The sequence below is a fragment of the Homo sapiens genome, chromosome 14, assembly GCF_000001405.40.
Source record: "Homo sapiens chromosome 14, GRCh38.p14 Primary Assembly".
NCBI classification, from domain to species: domain Eukaryota; kingdom Metazoa; phylum Chordata; class Mammalia; order Primates; family Hominidae; genus Homo; species Homo sapiens.
Genome location: NC_000014.9, coordinates 79,831,016 through 79,856,637, shown reverse-complemented (window position 1 = coordinate 79,856,637; position 25,622 = coordinate 79,831,016). Strand labels below are relative to the sequence as shown.

The 25,622-nt window shown below is 37.0% G+C and overlaps 1 protein-coding gene across 54 annotated transcripts in view; it reads right to left on the bottom strand.

Annotated features, from left to right (window-relative positions):
• Positions 1-25,622, bottom strand: part of NRXN3 (neurexin 3) — a 1,697,919-nt gene that overhangs the window by 11,654 nt on the left and 1,660,643 nt on the right. For 5 of the 54 annotated variants that reach the window (NR_158973.1, NR_158975.1, NR_158974.1 and 2 more), the window contains one exon: positions 2,421-3,099. The exons of 45 other annotated variants lie outside the window; for them this stretch is intronic. Coding sequence is in view for 4 of the 9 variants with exons in the window: in XM_047431960.1 (XP_047287916.1) it covers positions 2,990-3,099 (110 nt within the window). In the remaining 5 variants the exon portion in view is untranslated. Of the gene's footprint in view, positions 1-2,420; positions 3,100-25,622 lie in introns of those variants that run through there. 4 more of the 54 variants (XM_047431960.1, XM_047431961.1, XM_047431964.1 and 1 more) reach the window with 1 other exon arrangement.

The window sequence follows — 25,622 nt, the reverse complement described above, 5'->3', positions numbered from 1 at the left end:
TTGGAAAAAAAAAAAAAAAGAACAAAAAAACAAGCATGAAGTTTCAACACTTGCCTCTCTGGAGATATTTGGGTTTTGAGAGTTCACGAAAATACCAAAACAGTGATGCTGAACAGTGAGACTCTGGGACAGGACACCATGCTTGAATTCCTTGAATTCTTTTTATATATTTGGGTATTTTACTTCATCTCTTATTTGCATTATTCCAAATTTCTTCCTGAAAATTCACATGATAAGGGGAAATAATTCTTTTCCCCCCAAGAATTAATTTTTCAAAGATATTTAGCTCTTTGGTGACATAGAAGTGTGTATTTGTAACACATAAATATCATAAAGCTTGTAACCATGAAATTGCTCTCTATCAACCTTCGGGAAAAAATAGTCATGGACAAACAGGGCAAGTACCTGGGGAGAAGACAGTAGAAAAACTCAAGTGTCTCAAAGAGGCTTAACTTGTATTTTAACAGGATGAGAATTTCTAGGTAGGGCATTCTCCCTCGCTTCCCCACCACCCTTCCACCCCAGCAAAGGGTTTGTCTGAAATAGGTTTGATTTGGAAAGGCTACAGATTATATTTTTCAACAATAAGATGAGCCACAGCCCCTTGATATCATTATGTATTACAAAACAGGAAATGTCAAGTGGAGTGTTTCATTTGCTTATTAAGAGCTTTGCTTCTGAAGTAACTCAGACTCTTAACATCGGAACTCTCTAGGAGTTCCTACTAGTGCTAGGAATTTGGTCAAATTTCTTAAACTCTGGAAAATGAGAATAATAAAATACCCTACCTCAAACCATCAATGCAAATATTAAAATAATGCATATCAAGTATTTTTTATATGTTAGATGGTTAACACAGTACCTACTACTATTCAGAAATGCTAGTTACTAATGTTATTATTTCTACTAATGTATCTGAGCTATAAACACTTACATAATCACTTTCTTCTAACCCTTTTTTATTTAGTGGCTTCATGCTAAAGTAGAAGTATAATTATATATTGAGGCTATTTTAAATAATAGAATATAAGAAATAATTTATAATTCAAATAGCTTGTATTTTTTAAAAATAACATTTTATTAAATTTACCTTTGGATATCTTTTTCATAGAAAGAAAATATTTTAATGCATCAAGATAAAACAACATCCCATTTAGGAAGTTCTAAGTTTTAGACCTAAAATATTATCCAGCATGTCAAACAACACAAAATCGCATAAACTGAGGTAGAGAGAGCCCAAATATTAAGCTGCTGGCTTGGAAACACTCTTATCCACCATTCAGTTTGATATTTCTATAACAGTTCAAATAACACAAATATCTGTAAAGCAAAACAAGTAACTTCTTGATGAAAAAATTATATAGTGCTTCTTACCAATCTTATGTATGTTGAAGTACATAAGGCAGCATTGGTTCAAATAATCTTAAGGTGAAGGAATAGTCTTACCCTGTAGTTACACGATGATGGTACCCACCTGAAATATTTTCTAAGTATAACTTTAGATATGAAAATCATCATGTTTTCTTGGTAGAATCTTAAGATCCCTGAAAGCTTACCTGATTAAATCCTTGAGAGAAATGAAAAAGGGAAAAGGAGAAGAGACAAAGGAAAGAGGGAGAGAGAGAATGTGTGTGTGCCTTCTGTGTGTGTCTGTGTTTTTGCCAGTTGTTAGTTCCATACACTGGAAGGCGTCAGTATCATAGAACAATACTCGAAACACCTGGGATTCTTGATATCTGCATTTTCAGTATAATTGATTTTGTAGCCTGAAGCAAAAGTGAGAGTATGATCCTGGATAACCAAACTCTACCATAGTCACTTGAGAGTACCTTATTTCCCCTTTGCTGAAGGAAAAGAACTAATTTCCTAAATGCTTTTTAAGGAATTTTAAAAAGATGCAAATACCACTGGTACTACTTGGAGCTAACTCAACTCATTTTCTTCTAGGGTACAGGCCTCCCACTGGCTGGAAACAATTTTAAGATACCAAATAGAGCCTACCAATACTTTCAAGGCTTTAAACACGGTGGTGAAAAAGTTCAGGCAAAGAGGCCAGGCTTTCTTTGGGTGGTAAGAACAATGTATTAACCCCCTTCTACTGAGAGTAGAATTCACATTGATTATTAGAAGCAATTCAGCACAAAACATAACAGTGAAAATTCAGCAAATCGACACAAATGAAATAAAAAATATAGTCTTCAAAATTATATAGTAGAAAATAAAATCAACTTCGTAGCCAAAGTAAGCTGGGAGAAGGAGAGCAAATAACATTGAGGCATTCACAATATAATAAGAATGGAAAGAAAAAGTAAAAGCAAATTAAAAATAGAAGCTGTTCTGGGAAAAAAAGAAATCATTTCCATATAGGCAAAATAATTTAAACTAAAAAAGCATACCATATTAATTTATAGTCAACTTACATCAACAAATTGCCCGCATGTTTTTTGGCATGAAAGAAAAATTTACAAAAGAAAGTTGTGTAAGAATGCTCTTGGACAAATAGAATTGCCACATTCTTGTAACTTGCTTTTTTTGTTGTCATTTCTTAAAAACTTTTGAGCAAAATGTCTAATTTTTCAAATATAATAATTTACAACAGAGGATGATACAGGGAGGCAACAACACATACATCCACACCACATAACATAAAAAGAAAAAAAAAATCTGCACTTTAACAAATTTTTACTTTGGGGGGTTTGGGAGGGCATCAATTTTTGAATTTAAAATAATTCCGATTGCTATGATTGAAAAACCAAACAAAAAAACCTGTTTACTTTTATAATTTGCCTTTCAAAAAATTCTATGACTCTAACGGGTTTTGAATGAATTTCTGCATTTATAAGTTTTCAGATATATATATTTTTTTGTCTTTTTGACAAATTTTAGGCTTTCTTTAATTTAGGGAGATGGATGACAGCACATAAATTTTAACAATGCTAAAGAAAGGGGGAGAATGGGAAGGAAAGATGCAGGAAGGGGAGGGTCATATCTATGAGTGAACTACACAGGAGATGAAGATGATAGGAGTAAATGTGTAAGTGAGTCGCCATGTCCATGTAAGGGCGGCACGGAGTGATCTAGCTGCATTAGAGCTTCTGGCTGTAAGGAAGGGATGGGCAATATACAAAAACAAATGAGCCTACACATGCCCATCTATGGAAATAAAGAACAGAACTCTAACACTGACAATCTCACACACCCTAAGCTGCAACTTCTTCAACATGCAATTACTCCAAAAATTATTACAGTTTCATTAAAGATTTTCAAATAATAAAAACAGTTAAACTTTTTCCTACTAAAAATAGCCAAAATACATAAAATACTAGTAGTCATGATCAAAAAGTTTAAAGCAAAAACAAGAAGACTAGATTTATGCATTCAAGTTGAACAACTTCATCGGCAGCCACACAGCCCCATCTAGAGTGGGGGAGGTTCAGAAATCTACAGAGGTGATTGAGACGCACTACTAAGCAGGGGGCCCACGCACTGGGTTGCTAATTACTTCTCTATAGAGAAATGGCATTTTCCAAACGACATCATCCATCTTCCTTATGCCACCCATGTTGCACGCAATTGGCAATGAGACCAGGCTAATTTGAAAGATGTGGATGTGAGGATTCTGCAGCTGAAGTTGTTCCACATTTAAAGAGGGAGTGGGGAAAAACTGCAGAAAACAATTCATAACTTTTTTTCTCATAATTTTAGATAAAATCAAATCTAAGATAAAGATCTAGCAATTAAAAGAAACACATTGATATATATATATAGATATATATAATATAAAAAGCACTTAATTCCCAAACAAGAAGGGAGAAAAAAACAAAAAGTTTAAAGAAAAAAGTATTTCACACACTTTCAGAGATGAACAACCAGACGCACAGGCTTGAAAGGCACAGACAGAGCAGTCAGGGGACACGTTTTTTTTGCTTTGCTTTTTTGGCTGGTTAATTCCCCTTTTCGTGATAGCCAAAATTAAAAACAGATTGTGCATTTTCTTTAAAAACTAATTTTACGTTTTCTTTATTTTTTGGCTTTGCTTTGAAAAAATAAAAAGGGCGTGCAGTCTGGATGTACGTCGTAAGTAGACATTTAAAAGAGAAGAAAGTAGCTAGACTGACAAATGGGTTATCATATACTATCCTTCAATTGTAGGAATGTTAATCCAGTTAACACATGCTTAAAGTAAGTTGCATTTAGGGGAAAATAGAAAAACAGAACAGCAAGCTAGGATTAGGGGCAGCAAGACAAAACCAGTTTAGGGGTAGGAGGAAGGTACTGGGTTTTGTTTCATGCCTTTCCAGTAGGGGTGAAGGACATCTGAAGGCTTCTTGCCAATTAGAAGGAAAGCATGTGAGAGGTGTGTGTGTGTGTGTGTGTGTGTGTGTGTGTGTGTGTGTGTGTGTTGGGAGTTGAACTAGAACCTGTATTGACAGGAATTGGAATCAAAATACATATGGGTTCATGAGTTCTGCTTCAGGAAATTTATCCCAAATTTATTCAAAGCCTTTAGATGGCATATTTTACGGGCATAGAGGGGTTATAATTAACATTGCTCTGTGGGAGGGTTCTTGGGCTTAGTCAAAGTGACAGAGCACAATGATGACAGTAGAATGTTAATAAAATGAGCCTGATAAATGGAGGAATAGCCAATTTTTTTTTTGTAAGAATGGCAAAACCCCTCTCCACTCCAAAGAGTACAATATCAGTGTCTGTAAACTACAGGACAATCATGAAAGGAATAAAGTTTATTGGAAGTGCTTTGAGGAAAACTATGCCAATAAGGTTTATCTGAAGTACGTTGGGGAAAACTATGCCTCTCACATGTATGCACACGGAGAGGAAGATACTGTAGAAGAAACAGAGGGAAGGAATTTTTAGAAATGGCCTCAGCCTCCACTGGAAGAGATCACAAGAGTTATATTCAGTATTATATCTCGTTGAGAACATTAATGTTCAACCAAGGACTGGGAAACCCAGGTAGGCGAACCACAAAGGCAAGACACTTGAGAGCACCTGGTTCTGACAACCAATTCCAACCACTCCTAAGAACTCTTTTAGGGGACTTTGACAAATAGAGTAAATTTTGAGGATGAGTCCAACTTTTGCCCGCTATGGGACGCCCCTTTTATTATTTTACTTTAAAATAATTATAGCAATGTGTCCCCATGGGTCAGTCCGTACCAAGATTTTTAGTCTCTGGTTTAATAATGTTAATCATTATTCTGGGAACTTCACAAAGAGCAGCTGGAAAGTTTTAGATGGAGGAAAAAAAAATTAATAATATAGAAAAAGAAAAACCCTTGTTGCCATTTAGTTGATTTTTTTGGACTAATTATACTTTTAACATTGAATTAAGATTGTATAAATGCATATATGGTCGGTCTCAAAAGGCATCAAATGACATCTGTAGAATAAAGTTCTACAATTTTTAAAAGTAGGAAACATAACCGGTCTAAGTGTGAGACTTAAAGAATAAGATACTTCCAATACACACATTCTCCTGGATAATGAGAGGCATTTCGAAAAAGATACATCAGCAATTTGGGTTCTCTAAGGCTTCTACTGAGTAATTTACCTATTCCAAAATTGCCTGTTTTAAAACTCTTACAAGTAGGACACCACTTACATTCTAGAAATCACTGGTTTGAACAATTGAATATACGAAAATTTAGGGTTGTCACTTTGCAAATCATATGTGTATTTTTTAAACCCATGGAAGCTGTAGTTTCAAATGAAGCCAACATAGCCTGAATATAATGCATGTATATCTTTACCATATAAGTCAACCATTAGTTCACATACACAAACCTTGTTTGGTCTCTAAGATACAAAATGACATTGCTTGCTAATAGCAGTTCATAATCATGTCACAGCTTCATTTTCATCTTTCATTAGCTATCTACACTAGGTTTTTATTAATAACTGCCTGATTTCATGGCTGTGCCTTTATTCTGGGTACTAAGAATGTGTTTGGGTTATGTCTGTCATTGAGAACAAATAATACAATAATTTGATTTGAAACAGTATATTTCGATACTACCATTTTTATCCCACCATGTCCTAATAGCTCTGTCTAAATGTAAAATCAAAATTTTTAAAATGCCAAATGCGATATTACAGTTGTTAGAATTCATCTTGGGAACTTGTTTCAAAGAAATGTTTCTGAACTGCTTTGGGTTGAGCTCAAGAATCCCAAAGACATACTCAAGTTACTCCAGTTGCAAACCCTCCTCTCTGGAAGCATGGGTCCTCCTTGCTAGAAAGCATTGTCTTCAGTGTATAGAGGTGAGGCCCAAGAGGAAGGCCCCAGTGAGTTACTTTACATAACATTATATATTTTAAACTTCCCAGGGAGAATACTAGAGAGAGGAAGGCAGAGGGAACCATCTCAACAGTCTTCGTGCAACACTGGGTAAAGATTTAAAAAGTTACAAACCGGGAGGGCTGAGAAAGAAGTTGGCATAACAAATACCTAATGAAGATTTTGAAGACTTTTGGCATTGGATACATGAGTTAAGCCTCCACATCTGTTTCTCCTATGAAATATACAAAAACATTTTCATAGATTTGATTTTTGTGTCTGTGGGGTGAATGGAGGAATTCTGGGAGAATGGATGGCTCATTTCTGAATCACAGTTTGACTTAGAACGAAAGTAGAGAACCCTGTACATGGACATGGAAGTCTGGATGTGAGGATTGCTGTTGTCAGCATTACAAAACGAGCCCTGCATATACCTTTGTTCCTCATAACTTCTTCTGTAGACATGGAGGGTGCTCAGAAAAGGGGTGAAGGAACCCATTTCATAATGCGGTACAGTAATGCTGCAATGAACATGGAGTGCAGATACCTCTACAAGATGGTAATTTCCTTTCCCTTGGGTATATACTCAGAAAAGGCATTGCTGGGTTATATGGCAATTCCATTTTTAATTTAGGAACTTCCATACTGTTTTCTGTAATGGCTGGACCAATCCAAATTCCCACCCACAGTGTACAACGGTTCCCTTTTCTCCACACTCTCATCGACACATGTTGTCCCTTGTCTTTTTGATAATACCTACCCTACCATGTATGAGGTGATATCTCATGGTGATTTTTATTGGCATGTCCCTGGTGATTAGTTATGCTAAGCATCTTTTCACATACATGTTGGCCACTTTTGTCTCCTTTAGAGGAATGTCTATTCGGGTTACTTTGTCTATTTTTAAAATCGGGTTATAAGTTTTCTTGTTATTGAGCTGTATGAGTTGTTTATAAATTTTGGAAGTTAGCCCCTTACTAGATATATGGTTTGCAAATATGTTTTCCTCAACCTGTGGGCTACCTTTTCATTGTATTGATTTCTTTGCTGTGAAGAAGTGTTTTGTTTAGATGTATACTTCTTAAAGATTACTTTGGCTTCGGTATGGAGAATGGACTTTTGGGAAGCAAAAGTAGAATTGGGGAGATCAATTGGGAAGCCGTTGCAGAATTCAAGCAAGAAATGATGGTGACTTACACTACAGCATGGGTAGCTGGAGCAAAGGAAATGTGTGAGCAATTTGTTATCGAGGCAGAGTCAACAGGACTTCTTGACTGGGTGTGGGGAAGAGAGTTGGGACAGGGGCCCAAGAATGATGACAAATGTGGAGTTTGTACACCTGAATCAAATTTAAGAGATGAGAAAATTTGGAGGACATGCAAGTTTGGGGAATCCAAAGTTCTGTTTTAGCTCTTCTGAACCCAAAGTGTCTCTTAAATATCAAAGTGGAAAGGTTGAATAGCCAGATGGATTTGAGAAACTGGAATTCTGAAGGGAGGCTTAAACTGAAAATTATCATCATATAGATGCCATTTAAAGTCAAGAGGCTGGATCAGATCACCCAGAAGATTAAAACACCTGGGCCATATCTGGGGCCAGCTAAGAGATGGTGAGGTGAGGGGCCAGGGCTGGAGAAATAAAGTCAGGAGAATCTTGGGCTGTTGATACTGAAGAATGAAAATGTTTCATACAAAACCTTCATTTCTGACTGGTACACAGATGATTTTTTTATGTTGTAAAATATATTACCTATAATAGTATTAAAAGGGTCTAATGCAGAGGTGTTCAATCTTTTGGCTTCCCTGGGCCACAGTGGAAGAAGAATTGTCTTGGGCCACACATAAAAAAACACTAACACTAACAATAGCTTATGAGACCAAAAAACATTGCAAAAACTCAATGTTTTAAGAAAGTTTACAAATTTGTGTTGGGCCACACTCAAAGCTGTCCTGGGCTGCATGCGCCCTGTGTGCTGTGGGTAGGACAAGCTTGGTCTAATGGTTTGCAAGTAACAAACTATCTGCATATAGAAGTCCTAAATTCCACACAGTGGCAAGACTAAGAACAGGGGAGCAGTTGCTAAGCTCAAGCTTTGAGGGCCATTTGCACTGTCCTTTCTGGTTGTTTGACTTTATGAAGATATTTCCTCTTGATTAAATAAACTAGTACCAGCAAAAAATAGTTTTTAGAATTCCCTACTACACACATATACTTTATAAAAATGAGCTTCAAGTATTGAAAGATGTGCTATTTTTTTGTATTTCAATTCAGCAAAGGCACACTGAAGACCTGTGTTGTGCCCTATTCTGTGCTAGACAGATTAAAAAGCACCAAATAAGCATAAAGATTTAGCCTGTGCATCAATGAGCTTATAATGTTCTTGATGAAGAAAAGCTTAGTTACACTAAGACATGATTATTAAGTTAGCATTAAAACAAAATGAAAAAAAAAAAAAAGAATTCCTGGCAGTTTCTTAGGTGGGTTTTCCCTTTTGTGTATCTTAACCAGTATCAACACGTTGGGAGAAAGGAGCTAAGATACTACCTTGACCCTCTGTTCCTTTATGTCCTCATCTTACTACACAATTCTAAGGTCTGTCAGATTGTTTCCAAGAGATTTAAGGAGAATTCTCCCTTTGGCCTCAGCCCCTTTGGTCTCTTCAGGACCATCAAGGAGTGCTGAGCTCATAAAATATAGCTAATAACATCTTGATGCATTTGAAATGAATATTTTATAGTTTCTAAGGTAATTTTACATGTAATGCTCATGATTTCATGAGTTAGGACAAAATCTTTGATCTTTTTGAATAAGAAAAGTGAGGCCCCAGGGGTTGGCATGGGGGACAAGTGACTTGTCTCAAATTTCACAGTTTGGTAGAGGGCAGGAGCTCAACTCCAGATCTGTTCTCTTGCCAAAAAAGGAATACAATCTTATGGAAAGACATCAAAATAAGACCTTTTCAGAGCTTAACTCCAACTCACAAGGGTGAAATAAAATAACTGTAAAATTACATGCAGAAATAACCCAAATTTACAATTAAAACATGTATTCAAGCTTTAAGAATTCATCATTATTGGAGGGTGTGGAGATGGAGATTGGAAGGAAGTAGTAATGATGGCTATTTGGGTTAGGGTTTTGGGTTGAGGTGATTCTTGTTTGTTTGCTGAGTCAGATACTCCAAAGATCACACTTGGAGTAGCCCGGGCCTCAGTTGTAATTGTCTGGGATTCAGCCTCCTCTGTTGACTATGAAACCTTCATTTGGTAGCTAACAGTCTTTGAACACAATAGTAACAAATATTAGAGAAGCACTTTTAGAATTTTTAAGCACTTTCTCATTCAAAATCTTATTAGTTGAGCAAATCTGCCCTGTGAGGTTAAGTGACTAGACATTGTAGTCACCACAACTTTAAAGCTATAGGCTAGTGTGGGGGGTAAAATATAAGCAACTAATTATATTAATTCATTTGCTTATCCATTAATTCATTCAATAAACATTTGAATGATTATTAGTATTCTAGTTGGTAGGAAAAATAAAAGTAAGCAAGAAGACACTATCCCTTTCCTAAAGTTGTTTCAGGTCTAGCTGAGACTAAAAAACAAATTAAGTGCAGTGGAGTATTGAGTCAACAAAAATCTGCGTAGGGTACAGTAGGGTCACAAAGAATAGAGATTTTGGGATAGAATTTAGTACACATTAAAGCTTATCTGAATGTAAGGAAAAAAGATTAATTTAAAGTCCTTCCAGATCTAAACATTCTACTATCTTACCAATTTTTAAAATGTAATACTGTCTTCTGTAACGTTTTATCCATTCTCTCTTCCTTCTTAAGTCTGAAAGTTTGCTGTAGATTGGGCATGCAGAAATACCATTCTAAGTGTTGGGTTTGAGGCTGTCCTGGGTTCTCCTTTCCATCTTGAAAGTTTGGTTTTTCTCTCCTTTCTATTTACTGTAATTAGGTGTGGAAACTGAGTTTGGGAACAGATAGCACATGAATTTTTTACATGGGACATTTTTGTTCAGCATTAAAGCAAATTATTTTTATATTTAAAAACAAATACAGGTATATCTTGTTTTATTGTGCTTTGCTTTACTGTGCTTCACAGATACATTTTTAATAAATTGAACGTTTCTGGCAACTCGGCATCCAGGAACTCTGTTGGCACCATTTTTCTACCTGCCTGTGCTCACTTTGCAACTCTGTGTTACATTTTGGTAATTCTCACATTTCTACTTTTTTTCTTACTGTATCTGTTATGGTGATCTGTGATCTTTGATGTTACTATTATAACTATTTTGGGGTGCCATGAACCACACTCATAAGATAGTGAACTTAATATTGTCTGTGTTCTTCTTCACCAACCTGCCCTTCCTCCATCTCTCTCCCTGTCTGTCTCTGTCTGTCTCCATCTCTCTCTGTCTCCGTCTCTCTCTCTGTCTTTCTCTCCATCTCTCTCTCTCTCCATCTCTCTCTCTCCCCGTCTCCCTCTCTCTCCCCGTCTCCCTCTCTCTCCCCGTCTCCCTCTCTCTCCCCGTCTCCCTCTCTCTCCCCGTCTCCCTCTCTCTCCCCGTCTCCCTCTCTCTCCCCGTCTCCCTCTCTCTCCCCGTCTCCCTCTCTCTCCCCGTCTCCGTCTCTCTCCCCGTCTCCGTCTCTCTCCCCGTCTCCGTCTCTCTCCCCGTCTCCGTCTCTCTCCCCGTCTCCGTCTCTCTCCCCGTCTCCGTCTCTCTCTCTGTCTCTCTCTCTCTCTGTCTCTCTGGGTCGGTCTCTCTCTCTCTCTGTCTATCCTTGTCTCTCTCCAGCCCCCCACCCCCATCTCCCTATTTCCTGAGACACAGCAATATAGAAATTAGACAAATTAATAACACTGCAGTGGCCTCTAAGTGTTCAAGTGAAAGAAAGAGTCACCCACCTCTCACTTTAAAGCTAGAAATGATTGAGCTTAGTGAGGAAGGCATGTTGAAAGCTGAAATAGGCCAAAAACTAGGCCTTTTGGGCCAAACAGTTGGCTGAGTTGTGAATGCAAAGGAAAAGTTCTTGAAAGAGATTAAAATTGTTGTTCCAGTAAATACCCGAATGATAAGAAAGTAAAACAGCCTTATTGCTGATATGGAAAATATTTTAGTGGTCTAGATAGATCAAACTAGCCACAACATTCCTGTTAACCAAACCCTAATGCAGAGAAAGGCCCTAACTCTTCAATTCTATGAAGGCTGAGGCAGGTGAGGAAGCTACAGAAGTAAAGTTGGAAGCTACCAGGGGTTGGTTCATGAGGTTTAAGAAAAAAAAAAGCCATCTTCATAATATAAAAGCACAAAGTGAAGCAGCGAGTTCTAATGTAGAAGCTGCAGCAGGTTATCCAGAAAATCTAGCTAAGATAACTGATCAAAGTGGCTACACTAAACAACAGGTTTTTAATGTAGACAAAATGGTCTTATATTGGAAAAAGATGCCATCTAGGACTTCCACAGCTAGAGAAGAGGAGTCAGTGCTTGGCTTCAAAGCTTCAAAGAACAGGCAGATTCTCTAGTTAAGGGCTAATGTAGCTGGTGACTTAAAGTCAATACTTATTTGCCACTTCAAAATTCCTAGGGTTCTTAAGAATTATGCTAAATGTACTATGCCTGTAGTCTTTAAGTGGACTAGCAAAGCCTAGATGACAGTTGTTTACAGCATGGTTTACTAAATATTTTAAGTCCATTGTTGAGACCTAGTGCTTGGAATAAAAGATTCCTTTCAAAATAGTACTGTTCATTGACAGTGCACCTGGTCATCCAAGAGCTCTGATGGAGATATACAAGGAGACTAACATTGTTTTCGTGCCTGCTAACACAACATCCATTCTGCTGTGCATGGATCAAAAAGCAATTTTGACTTTAACATCTTACTTAAGAAACACGTTTTGTAAGGCAATAGCTGCCATAGATAGTGATTCTTCTAATGGATCTGGGAAAAATAAATTGAAAAAATTGTTAGAAGGATCCGCCATTCTAGATACCATTAAGAACATTTGTGATTCATGAGAAAAGTCAAAATATCAACATTAGCAGGAGGTGGGAGGAAGTTTAATGCAAAACCTCATGGAGAGTTTTGAGGGGTTTAAGACCAGTGGAGGAAGTAACTGAAGATATGGTGGAAATAGCAAGATAATTAGAAGTAAGACCTGAAGATGTGACTGAATTGCTGTAATGTTATGATAAAACTTTAATAGTGGTATATATATCCACCATGGAATACTATTCAGCCATAAAAGGGAACAAAATAATGTCTTTTGCAGCAACTTGGATGGAGTGCGAGGCCATTTATACTAAGTGAAGTAACTCAGGAATGGAAAAGTAAATATTGTATGCTCTCTCTTATAGGTGGGAGATAAGCTATGAGGACACAAAGGTACAAGAATGATATAATGGTCTTTGGGGACTTGAAGGTTGGGAGGGGGCAAGGGATAAAAGACTATATATTGGGTACAATGTACACTGCTCAGGTGATGGGTGCACTAAAATCTCAGAATCACCACTACAGAACTTATCCATGCAACCAAAAACCACCTATAACCCCAAAACTATTAAAATTAATTTTTCTTAAAAAACTTTAATGGTTAAGGAGTTGCTTCTTATGGATTAGTAAAATGACTTCATAAGAAGTAATCTCCTGGTGAAGATGCTGTGAACACTGCTGAAATGACAAAATATTTAAATATTAATATCACATAAACTTAATTGATAGAGGCACAGTTTGAGAGGACTGACTCCAATTTTGAAAGAGGTTGTACTCTGATTAAAATGCTATGAAACAGCATTGCATGCTACAGAGAAATCTTTTGTGATAAGAAAAATCAGTCAGTGCAGCAAACATCATTTTTGTCTTAGGAAGTTACCACAGCCATCCCAACCTTCAGCACCCACATCCTGATCTGTCAGCAGCCATCAACATCAAGACGGGACCCTCTACCAGCAAAAACATTCGCTGAATACTGTTGATCACTAGCATTTTTGTTAGCAGTAAAGTATTTTTTATCAAAGTATTTTTTTAAAAGATATAGTGCTGTTTCACATATAACAAAGCACAGTATGGTATAAACATACTTTTATATGCACTGGGAAACCAAGAAATTCATGTGACTTGCTTTGTTGTAATATTCACTTTGTTGAAATGGTTTGGAACCAAACCCGACCTATATTCACATTAGCCAAGATAGAAAGCAATCGAAGTATCTGTCAAGGGATGGACACATTATAAAATATTAAGTGGAATATTATTCAGCCTTAAATAAGGAGATCCTGCCATTTGCTACAATATACATAACTTGCAGGGTTTTATGCTAAGAGAAATAAGCCAGGCATAGAAAGAAAGATATTACATGATCTCATTTATATGTGGAATCTAAAAAAACAATGTCTAATACCCACAGAGATAGAGAATAAAACAGTGGTTACTAGAGGTGGGAGAGGAAATGACATGTAGGTGAGAGAATACCAAGTAACAGGTGTTTAGGATGAACAAGTCTAAAGATCTAATGTGCAGAGGACTGTAGTTAGTAATAGTGTATTGTATTCATGATTTTTGCTAAATCAGATTATGGCTACTCTTGACATAAGGGGAAAATGTATAACTATGTGAGATGATAGATATGTTAATTTGTTTCTCTATGGTGACTATTTTACTATATATATATATCTCATAGAATCATGTTGTATTCCTTAAGTATACAAAACAAAATTTATTTCTTAAAGTATCCAATAAAAATCAGATCAAGTCACTTTCCTCTTTAAAATCCCCAAAGGTTTCCCCAAATCAAAATCCCTGACTCACTGGGAAAGTCCACTGTGACCTGCCAGCTGCCTACTCCAGTACTCCAGTCTCATCTATGACTCACCAGACCCAGGATATCTCGGGCTCTGGCCATACTCTCTGGCTTCCCTTCCAGGAACATCCCTTGCCTTGCTCAGTGCTTGGCTAGGTCTTTCTCGTTATTTAGGTCTCTGCTACAATTTTACTTCTCAGAGGCCCTTCACATCTTCCCTAGTAACGAACCAGCCTGCTCACTAACTGAACATCAACTCCTCATGATTCTCTGCACAGTATTTATTAGCTGACTTTTGCCCATGTATTTACATTTAGTCCTCCCCCACTTCACTGGAATATAAGCTCCAAGAGAGCAGAGACTTTGTCTTTGTCCGCAGTCCACAGAACAGCGCCAGGCACATAGTAATAACTCAGGAGATCACTGCTGAAAGAAGAAAGGATGCCTGGAATAGCCACGAATACCTTGCAAAAGGAGCCCACTCTGTTTTTCTGTTTTTCTTGCAGTCCTCTATAGTTCCTAATATGGTGCTTTGCCCACACAAGGCAGTGGATACATGTTTTGCAAACTAATTATTGAAGCATTGCATTCACAATTCTGTTTTATTTTCATTTACTCTTCTCTAAACCAGATGGGATTTCCCTGAGTCCTAGTTAGCAGTTCCAATGCAAATTGGACCTTCTTATCCACAGCTGGCTTAAGAAACTCTCTGAAAAAATACATCACTATCTGACTCGTTCTCACTTCCATAAACAGGTATTGGAATATGCACTGGAAAACTCAGGCTTTCCTTTTGCAGTTGTGTAGGCTAAAGATAAAATAAACAGTAATTCAACCTAGAGCTGCCAAACATTGATTTTCTTCAGGCAGTAGGAAGGAAAGGGCCAAGCAAATTATTAATGGGGGAATGGTGATCAGGGCAGTGAAAGCATGCTTGGTTATCTCTGCCTGCTGTGGCCCTGCAGCCACTGACGTAGAACACAGGAGCAGTGGGACCTTTCTCCTGAACTGATACCATTACGCTTTATGATTGTGTTTATAGAATAATAAATTATTCAAAAAGGTTTATTTTGCTTCTGTTTTCCCCAAAAGCTCATTTGCTCTGTCATGATGAACATAATTTTGACTGTTTTCTTTGTGCTGGGATCCCGTTGGGTGGTAGCAGCTGGACATTCCAACCTGTTTTCTCCTCTCTATAGGGCCGGTAAGTTCTCTTACAATAAAACTCACCATTTCTTGCAAACATCCTCTTTTACCCTAAAATCTGTCTTCATTGCAGGGAATGTACAGGGTTCATAAAATCAATACCACCAAGGTGTTTTCATACTTAATGGAAATCAGTTTTACATAAAAAGATGAAAAGTTTGCCCAAGACTCCAGCACTTGACATCAAGATTATGTACCCTAAATATACACGGCTTTGACTGTGTCTAACTTGAGCCTTAGGCAGCTGATTTACAATAGAGGAGCCCTGCAGATGTACTTGGGTGGATGAGACACACATCATAAGCTTATTTAATTTTTGTAAACTAAACCGTAGATAAGGGAGGAAGCTTTGAGAAATTTTCCAGTCATTCCAAAAGCTCAATGAATATGGGTCTCTAGATTAGTTAAGATATATGCTTAGAAACAAATGAGTATGATCAAATGGTTGACATAGTGTTTTTCTAGCAAATATGAGGACAGAGAAAGGAAACAAAAATTATAATTACATAATTAAAACACTAATTAACTAGAAGCCTACCTCCAGAAGATGTTTTTAAGAGTATTAAAAACTTAGTCTCTGCCAGACATCGTGTTAAATGCTTTAGTTTATTTTACTCAATAATTATAATTACACCTTACATAGCAGTAAATCTGGGCTGAAATAAGCTAAGTAACTCACCCAAAGATATACAACTTAAAAAATTGAATGGCCGTGACTGTATCTAGTCCTGCATGTTTTACGTTAAAATACAGTGCCACCCTTCACCAGTTTTTTAAAATATTCAGTTCTCACTGAGTATGGGAACTTACAAACAAGCTAATCTTTAGGCACAAAAACAACTTCCACAGGAGATCCTAAGATCTCTACAGATTTATTTCATACTTTTAAGCCTTAGGAGTCATAATTGCATAATGAGAATTGATATTCAGAGGGACTCTGAAGATTTACTTTTTTGCACAATCCCAGGTTACCTAAGCTAGACATACTAAGTCTGTCTGCTAGGGGCAGTGGAAAAAGGATAACAGGAAGTGCCTGGTTATCTACATGTTTTAAAAGTTCCCCAAGGGACTCATGCAAAATTAGATTTAGAAACACTACTCTAAATAACTTCATTATGTTTGCTCTTTTTACCTCAGAGTTATAGAGTGGTCCTTAGTCATGAAAGTAAAAAGAAAATTGAATTTCTAGACCCAACTGGACTAAAGTTCCAGCTGTGATCCAACTTCTGTGACCTGAAATAAGTCATAATCTCTCTTATTTGTAAAATGGAGATAAAATTCCTTGGGTATTGAGTCAATTGAAAGAGATGCTAGATATACAAGCATTCGTTTAAATACATACATACATACATACATACATGCTTCCAGAAATGTTACAAGGGTAATTATCATCTTACTGATACATCAGAAGTTTTCTATCAGTTTCTAATATGTAGATGTTAGGATCACACAATAAATGTTTTTGGATATTCTGCCCATTCAAGCAGTAACATTTTGAAAGCTTCAGTTGGTCTGAATGATTTGATTCCCTTCCTGAGCTGTTAAATTACAAGTGCTTTCTGCAACTACTAGAAGAGAACATTGGGGAAATGCTATAAGACATTGGTATGGGCAAAGATTTTTGGGGGGATAAGACCTTAAAGGCATAAGCAACAAAAGCAAAAATAGACACATGATTACATCAAGTTAAAAACCTTCTGCACACTAAAGGAAACAATCTACAAAGTGAAGAGACAACCAAAAAGTGGGAGAAAATATTTTCTACTATTCATTTAACAAGGGATTAATAACCAGAATACACAAGGAACTGAAATGACTCAACAGCAATACTAATAATCTGATTTTAAAACTGAACAAATGATCTCTGAATATCTGTCCTGTGTCATTTTCTTTCACACTGCATCTTAATTCATCATTGACTCTATACACACTTTTTAAAAGGCCCCATAAACCAATTGTTGAAGAGCATCACATTTCTCTTTTCATTTCCTGTTATGTTATTCTACAATGTAACCCTGTTCAAGTTTAGGGGAGGCCATTGTTTTAGACTAGACTCCGGCCCTAGGCCTCAGCCAACCAGACCAAACCATAATGGGTCAGGTTTTTTTGTGTGGTGTTTTTGTTTTCTTTTTAAACAGGAGATTCATAGCAACCAAGCAGAAGGGGCCCTTTACCTGATCCAGCATAAGAAAGTACCCTCTGCTTAAAGCCTAGAAAGAAGGAAATGTTGAAACAACCTGTCTACTTCTCATTTTGTTTCTGCTTTCTTCAGTCCTTTTCTGTCCATAAAGTCAGACAACACCTTGCCCAGCTCATCAGAACATACTATTTTATAGAACAAGGTGTTGCCCAATTCTACAATTGCAAGTAAAACCAATACATCTTTAAGCTAAATTTGTTGTAATTTTGTCTTTTGACCACCTCTAACTGGTAGGTTTCATTAATGGCTCAAAGGTGTTAAGAAAAATGGCTTCTTTTGTGCACAATGAGACTGTATTGCTAGCACAGTCTCAGGCAGGCCAGAAGGCCCAAGAATGAGCTTCCTACTGTGCCCCTTCAGAAACACGAATCCCACCATGTCTGAGTGGCATGGTGTTCGAGGGTGGACACTAGCATGGCAGCAGCTTGGTATCACAAAGTGAGAAAGGCACTATAAGGCAGCTTTGAAAACAGAAGTGCCAGAGGCCATCTGGTCACTTAATATCTCCTCAGCCAGACTACAGTCATTTTCAATATGGTCTCCAACACTATTTCTCTGTGGTAATAGTGAAAAGGTGCTGACATATTGCTTGTGCTGCTTTAGATGGATATACTACTTAAGTTTTCACACTACTTGTGAGTACCATATGAGGTATCTATCTAAAAAAAATTTGAGAAACACTAAATTTTATTTTTAGCAATACTGCCACATTTAATTTAAAAAGTCAGCGTGGGGAAACCCTGGAACCCACTTACAGTCTCCACTTTTATGCGTAAGTTTAATGTGTTCACACACAGTCCTTCCCTGGGAGAATGTCTGCTCAACAGTTTTGTTCCTGTTTCATAGTATTAATCTATAGTAACGCTTATTTCAATGCTGTTAGCCAAAAAATAACATTTTTAAGGGATAAAAAATTAAAACGTTTATGAGTCTTAAGTCTGAAAGTTGAGACTTAGTACTTTATGACTTTTAAGTATTGTCTTTGTAAAATCATGTAGGTTAGGCTTGCTTGGGTCCCTCAAAAAGCTGAGTTTTTAACACTGTATACTATTCAGTACAAAATATATTGGCTTTTATGTAAGCAACTCACTAGGAACACACTGCTTATCTTGGATTACTAGGTAGAATTTTTTGATAGAGGCAGGTCATTACCACTTTGTCCTACTTGAAAGGACAAATATCTATAAGACAAATATAAATATTGAAAATAAAAGGTATTTCCCAATATGCCCTGTGGAACTGGCTAACGGGTACAAATTGAGATAGGAAGATGCTGCATGAAGAGTTTAAATGTTGGAAAATGTCTGTGCAGCTTAGCTCCTAAACAGCCTTCATGTTTGAAGGCATTTGATTAACCTGCAGTCTCGAAGATTTATTTATTTGGTTTAGAAAGAATCCAAAAGCAAGAACTTAACTGTGTGGAAGCCTCTAGAGAAAAACTTTGACACTTGTACAAAAAATGACATCAAAGAACTATTAGTGGTGAAAAGAATAACTTTGTAAAGCAGTGGCGTTCACTATTTGTGGCCCAAAGGAAAAACCCACGATGGAGAAAGAGATGGGGATATTTCTGTTCAGTGTGTTTTCAGAGAAGGCAAGGAGATAAGTAAAAGTGGATGCTGCTGGGTCTTTTCCCACAGGTTATACATCCTACTAACAAGCAAAGCTTCCAGAAAGTAAGCTCTCTTGAACTTGCTAGAGAAGATACAACATTAGGAAGCAGAATATGAAGGCAATTTTACTTATTGGTTAACTCAACTAAGTGACTTAGTCTCTGTGCCCCATTTTAGTGCCTGTAAAACATATGAAATGGATAAGACGGTTTTTTTAAAAAAAAATGACTTAAGGTAAGCGCTATGGCCAATGGAATCAAAACTGTTCCAAAATCAATACTATAATTTTCAGAATATTTTGAATGGACTGTAGATACTGTCTTCCTAACACTATATCATTACATTAATGGAAGCTTATTTTCTATGTTGCCTTTCAACATAAGAATCAAAAGTCAAAAGTCAATTGCATACATACTTTACAACACCCCTAGCTTGGTAAGTCTTAGAAAGCGGTGATAATTTGTTTCTTGAAGTGGCATGACAAGATCCTGGAATAATGTAGGATACTAACAGTATTACTTTGGACACATGGAATATTGAGCTGAGAAAGTGGGGAGTCTAGCATTCAAGGATGAGGATGTCACAGTTGACTCCTTACTGTGCAGACTAACCACTGTGAGGGTCCCGTATGAAAATTAGGCAGCAATAGAACCATGGACAAAAAAATGACAACACAGAAGCTAGTGAGTCAGGATTTTTTGTGTGTGTGTGGGTGCTATGTAAACAATGACAAATTTTCCATCCAGCATCTCCAACTTTTAGAAGAAAGTGCTGGGCACAGCTGTCTGTTACTGCTCTGGAAAGCTCTGTCCCATCTTTTGTACTGTGCTAACATTCACATACATGAGGTTCTCTGGGACCCTCAATCTAAGATGTTCAGAGATGGCACAGCAACAATTATCCATCTGTACTCTGAAGCTGTAAGCAGCTCTTTCTCTGTTGGAGAACTCCTATTATAAAGGTGGCCAAACAAAAGAAAGATTTTTGAGAAGCATAGTTCGGATCACCACAGGTAGCTTTGTGTCCTGCAGGCTAGTTCTATTTTTTTTCCAGAATAGTGGATGGAACTTTCTCATGAGCCAGGCTTGATACTACAAGTGTAACATTTCCTGCTCTTGGTTTTAACAACTTTAAAGTGCATTAAATGTCAGTTGGCAAGAGTTTGAATGAGCATCATCAGAACTGATCCTCTAGTCTTAAATATGGAACTGATGGTTGTAAGAAAGTTAACTAGAAAAGCAGAGTGGGCTATCAAAACAATAGCTGTGGCTCACACTTAGTGTCATCTTTGTCATTTGCCATTGTGTTCTTTCAATGCACAGAACCATTACAATCCACATTCTTGAACTATTAGTAGCATTCAGCTGAACTTTGAGAGGAATAACTGCATTTGTTCTGCTCTTCTCTCTATAATATTACAAAGAAATCTTACAGAAAACATTGTACCCTAATGATGCAGAGTCGGGAATTGGAAATCAACTGCACAAAACTGAGTTCTGATTGAAACTTACTATGTAGATTACAATAACAATCCACAGATAAGTGAGGCTATTCTACGCATGCCAGGATTTAAATTGCATCCTCCTACCAGTGGCCAAGTAGGATACTGTGCTGTTCCCCTGCTGTCACTGTCAAGTTTCCTGTGCGACTATCATGATTATCAACAACAAAGCCCATGTGCTCCGTGCAGGGATGTGGTTTAGTGTTTAAATCCTAAATCCTTATACTTGCACAGAATCCCAAACCACTTTGCTTATGAAGATAAATATGAAACCCAGGGCAATGGCCATATTCCAGTTTGAATAATTATGTTGCTTTCCACAAATATCTTTCATCCAGTTCCTCAATTGTGTCACCTAAGATGTAGCTATTCAATTCTTTCTACACACATTTTCACTCCCTGGAAACAAAGACTGCCAAAAACAGATGTCTCCATGACAAAGGTTAGCCCTAAATCCCAGAACAGAGCCCCAAAAAATGTATATATGGAGAAATGGAAATCAAAATCATGAGATGCTGAATTATTTCAAAGTTAAAGAAATAACTATTTAGAGAGAAATATTATTCTTATATATCATTAAAAGGAAAAGCGTTATGGTACAGAGGAAAATATTTTAAATGACACTGTCTGCAGGCTTACAAAGCCAAGTGAGTGACAGCTGCATAGGACAGGATCTGAAGAGGGACTTCTCTGTTTTTCAAATTGGCAAATAAAAATTGTACATATTTATCATGTGCAACATAATGTTTTGAAATGTATACAAGTTGTGAAATGGCTGAATCAAGCTAAATTATACCGGCATTACCTCATTGTATTTTCTTTTCTGCTAAGAACACTTAAAATCTACTCCCTTAGTGATTTTCAAAATACAAGATGTTATTATTTGCTATGGTCACCATGTTGTGCAATAGATCTCTTGAACTTAGTCCCCCTATTATGCTAAGTGAAATGGACCATGCACAGACAAATATCACATGACCTGACTTCTTTTTGGAGACTGCAAAAGTTGAACTCACAGAAGTAGAGTAGAACGGTGGTTATGAGAGGCTATTAGGGTTGGGGTGGCGGGTCGGGAATGTGTTGAGTGAAGTTTCAGTTAGATCTGGTTTCGTATTGTCACTGGTGGCATGAAACGAAAAAGAACACTCTTGCTTTTGAAATAAACTGTACAAGATGGTCTCAGTGATATAAGAAAGTCACAGAGATTGTCCTCTGCTATGAAAAGACAAATGCTCCACAGGAAGATGAAGATGTCTGAATCTGTGGCAGCTGCAAGTTCTGTTAAAGTATGATTGGGAATGAATGCAAACTTTCCTGGTTTTGGTTTTGACTTACTTATTTTCAATTATTTACTGTTAACTTAGAGTACCGCTCTCGGCAAATATTTCACTAGCCCCTTTTGTGTCATGTTTAGGGTTATGGTTTACTAGAATCAAACAAGAACAGATGCGTGGCTACATTTTGATAGATAGATAAATAATATTTTCAACACTGACATTTTCATGTAAAATGTTGTGTCTTTAGCTGTGACGTCCAGAAACAAATAATACCTAGTTAAATGGTTGGTGTGAGAAATGGAAAGATTAAAATAACCTGGCCTTCCAGGAGAATCAGATCTTATCACACATTCTCTGAACACATTTAGCAATTCTAAGAGCAGTACTTGAAAATCTGTTATCGGAAGAAGGGAAGGTGGCAGAAACAGAAGTAAGAAAATGAAAAGAATAGGCTCCAGGTGGAATCCAGCATTTGTAATTGAGTTTGCTTTTCCATTGTGGCACTTTAAACTCCCAGTATTAGAAATTTCTGTGTTTTGTTTCTTAAGGGCTAAGAATACCGTGTTAATATTATTGGTAGCCGTGGGACCTGTTTATGTAACTACCAACTCTCTGGATTGCCAGTCTGTCTATATAGTTGTTTTCATACAATGGGACTTTAATAACAAACAACTCAGAAATATGTATGTGCTGTAACACAAATGCTGTAACACAAACGTTCTTTCATGTATATTTTCCTGGGAGGGCAGCCAGAACTCTTTTCCTCTGCCTGTTTACATACAAGATGTTGTCACTTGCAGATATATATTAGAATGGTTGCTCCAGATTGCAAAGAATTGTGCACACCTGGGTTATTTTCATTCCAAAAGGTCCAATTAAATATTGTGCAGCATTTGCATAATTATTCAATTTAGCTATATGGCTGAGCTACCAATCTGGATCTTTAAATTTTAAAAAACCTGAGTATGTCAATTAAGAACTTTGAATTTTTGATCAGTTGGTACCTCTACAGATGAGCTGCTAAGAGACTGATAGAGTCCATGCAATATCATTTTAGAAGGACTTCAGTGAGAACAAGCATTTAAGAGCTGCCTGCCTTTTAAGGTGATTTCTCAACATTTTTTGTTAATAAACCCTATTGAGAATCTGATGAAGGCTGCATGCTCTTTCCTAGTAAAAATGCCCATGTAAATTGAAGAAATTCAGGAGGTTTTGTCCGTCTCAAGCAAAAATTTTAAGAGGACAGCATTACAAAATTAAGAAGTTAAGATCTATAAACATGCCTCATAAACTCCAGAGTTATATATACCTACGAGGCAAAGGCACCATAAAATCAACACAGAATTAATTCTCATTACTATTATCAATGTTGTAGTTTGGCTCACTGGAATTTTAATTCATTCTTTTACTATCTCTAGTTATCTGAGTTAATATAAAAGACCATTATTAAGAGTCGAATCTAAAATTTGCCTTCAATGTAAAACATGTTTTATTCTAATATAATGTGCGTAGATATTGTGTAGTTTGATATTCATCAGCACCAGTAAAATGAACCCAACCTCAGGTACAAATCTAATAGAGCTGAATGTTAATTAATGTGATCCAAACAACTTATCATTTCAGGCTTGCTTCTATTAGGAAAGACGTGCTGTGGCTGTACCCTAATAGAAAAGTCTATTAGTTGCATGGATTCCAATTTCCTTTATCTATATTAGTCACTGAATAGTAGGTTTCTCCTACTTAATAACTTTTCATTGTTTCTCTTTATATTTAGAGCATTCATTTAAAACCATAAAATTACAAACCAAGATTCAGTGGATATATTTAATATATTTTAATCTGATAGCTTTATTTATAACTTTTAATCTAAAAGAATAAATCCATTTTCCTTTTTAAGGGAAAAGTTTGGTGTCCATATGTGCAATGCCCCATAGTAGTAACATCAGACATAGAAGGGCAATTTATGTTTTTTTTACTTTTTTTAAACAAAATGTGGGGTTGAGCCCCATAGGAATCCTGTGATAATGGGATAGACATTATTTACATTTTAAAGTGACATTTTTCAACCTCTACACTATTGCCATTTTGGGTGGGATAATTCTCTGTGGTGGGGGCTGTCTGAGCACTGTAGGCTATTTGGCAACACCCCTGACCTCTACCCACTAGATGCCGTTAGCATCTTCCCAGTTGTGGCAATCAAAAACATCTCCAGACAATTGACAATATGTCCCCTGGGGACAAAAGTCCCCTTAGTTTAGAACCACCGTTTAAAGAAACTACGCTGCAGAGAATTTAAGGCACCGGCTCAGGGTCATAAAGACACTGAGTTATTACTGGCTCTATTGAGCCAGGGCTCGACTCTTGTCTCTAGTGTTTAGTTCCACAATGCAACTTAGGAGACACTCCATACTGTAATTCCTTTAGTGTGTCTCTTGAACTATGAACATCACTAACATAGATAATATTGTAATATAAGTAAAAGGGAAGTAGTAACAGTCAGCTTTCCATATCTACCTGCCCTCGACTCATTCAACAACTGCAGGTAAATGAAAATATTACAATTAAAAACACAAAAACAATACAGTATAACAACTATGTTGGATTGGGTATTATAAGTACTCTAGAAATTATTTAAATTATATAGAAGTATGTGTGTAAGTTATATGTACACACTGCACCATTTTATGTAAGAGATTTGAGCGTCTGCAGATTTTGGTATCAGGGCGGCGAGGGGGTGTCCTGAAATCAATTGACTTATATAAAAGTGCCTGTTAAATACTAAAGTATTATGAAATTTTCACATAAGCATATGTGTGTTAGAATCCACCCTGAGATAAACGTGGGGGGCTCACAGAAGACATGAAAAACTCGGAGCAAAGTAAACTGCAAACTAAAAGGTAGATCTGCTGCTGACTTCAAGTTCTGAACTGCAAAACTGATCTTAAACGGTAAAGTGCTTAATGCAATCTGGTTGTTGTCGGCATCTTTCCAAAACACTGTATTAGCTGTTGCAGTGGAATGTTGCCAGCAGCCAGATGATCAGTTCTTAGTCTCTCATGAGTAGTCGGTACAAACTGAGAGCGCTCATCCTCATCATTTCTTAGAGTGATGGAGCTGGGCCGAACCAAAATAGCTTTCTCCAGGCATACTAAGTGAAGCTAGAAAACCCTCGTTTGGCAAAATAACAATAAAACCATACACAATGCCAAGGCTCATAGAAACTTGATATCTAAGAAATCTATGGATACATTGTGAGTTCTCATGATTACATGAGCTTCCTTTAAAGCAGGACCAGATGCATGGGCAATCGTCAAGCCTTTGTCTAACCAGAGGAAGCGTGTTCCCATCTTGCATGTGTGAAATGCCATAATCTGACCTAGTTCTGCATTAACATTCTTGTACGTGACCAATTCTCATGTGAAATCTGTCACTCACTAGCTCTTAAGTGACTAAACAAGATTATGCAAAAGAGAAAACTGTGGCAATAGGTCTGCAGTTCTGTTAAGCTTCAGAGAGAGTATTATGTTTCCTGTCCCTTTGAACAAAATGACACAGCTGGTGATAAAGCAAGCGTTTTTCTTAAAATTCTCTCATCACCCCCAATTTCCTACTGAATCTAGATATTTCCTTCATTTTTCTTTTCCTTATGATTTCCTGGTGGTCTCTATCTCTAATAGGACTGTCGATCTTTAAAGACCTCATGTCAACACGTTCCTGAAATG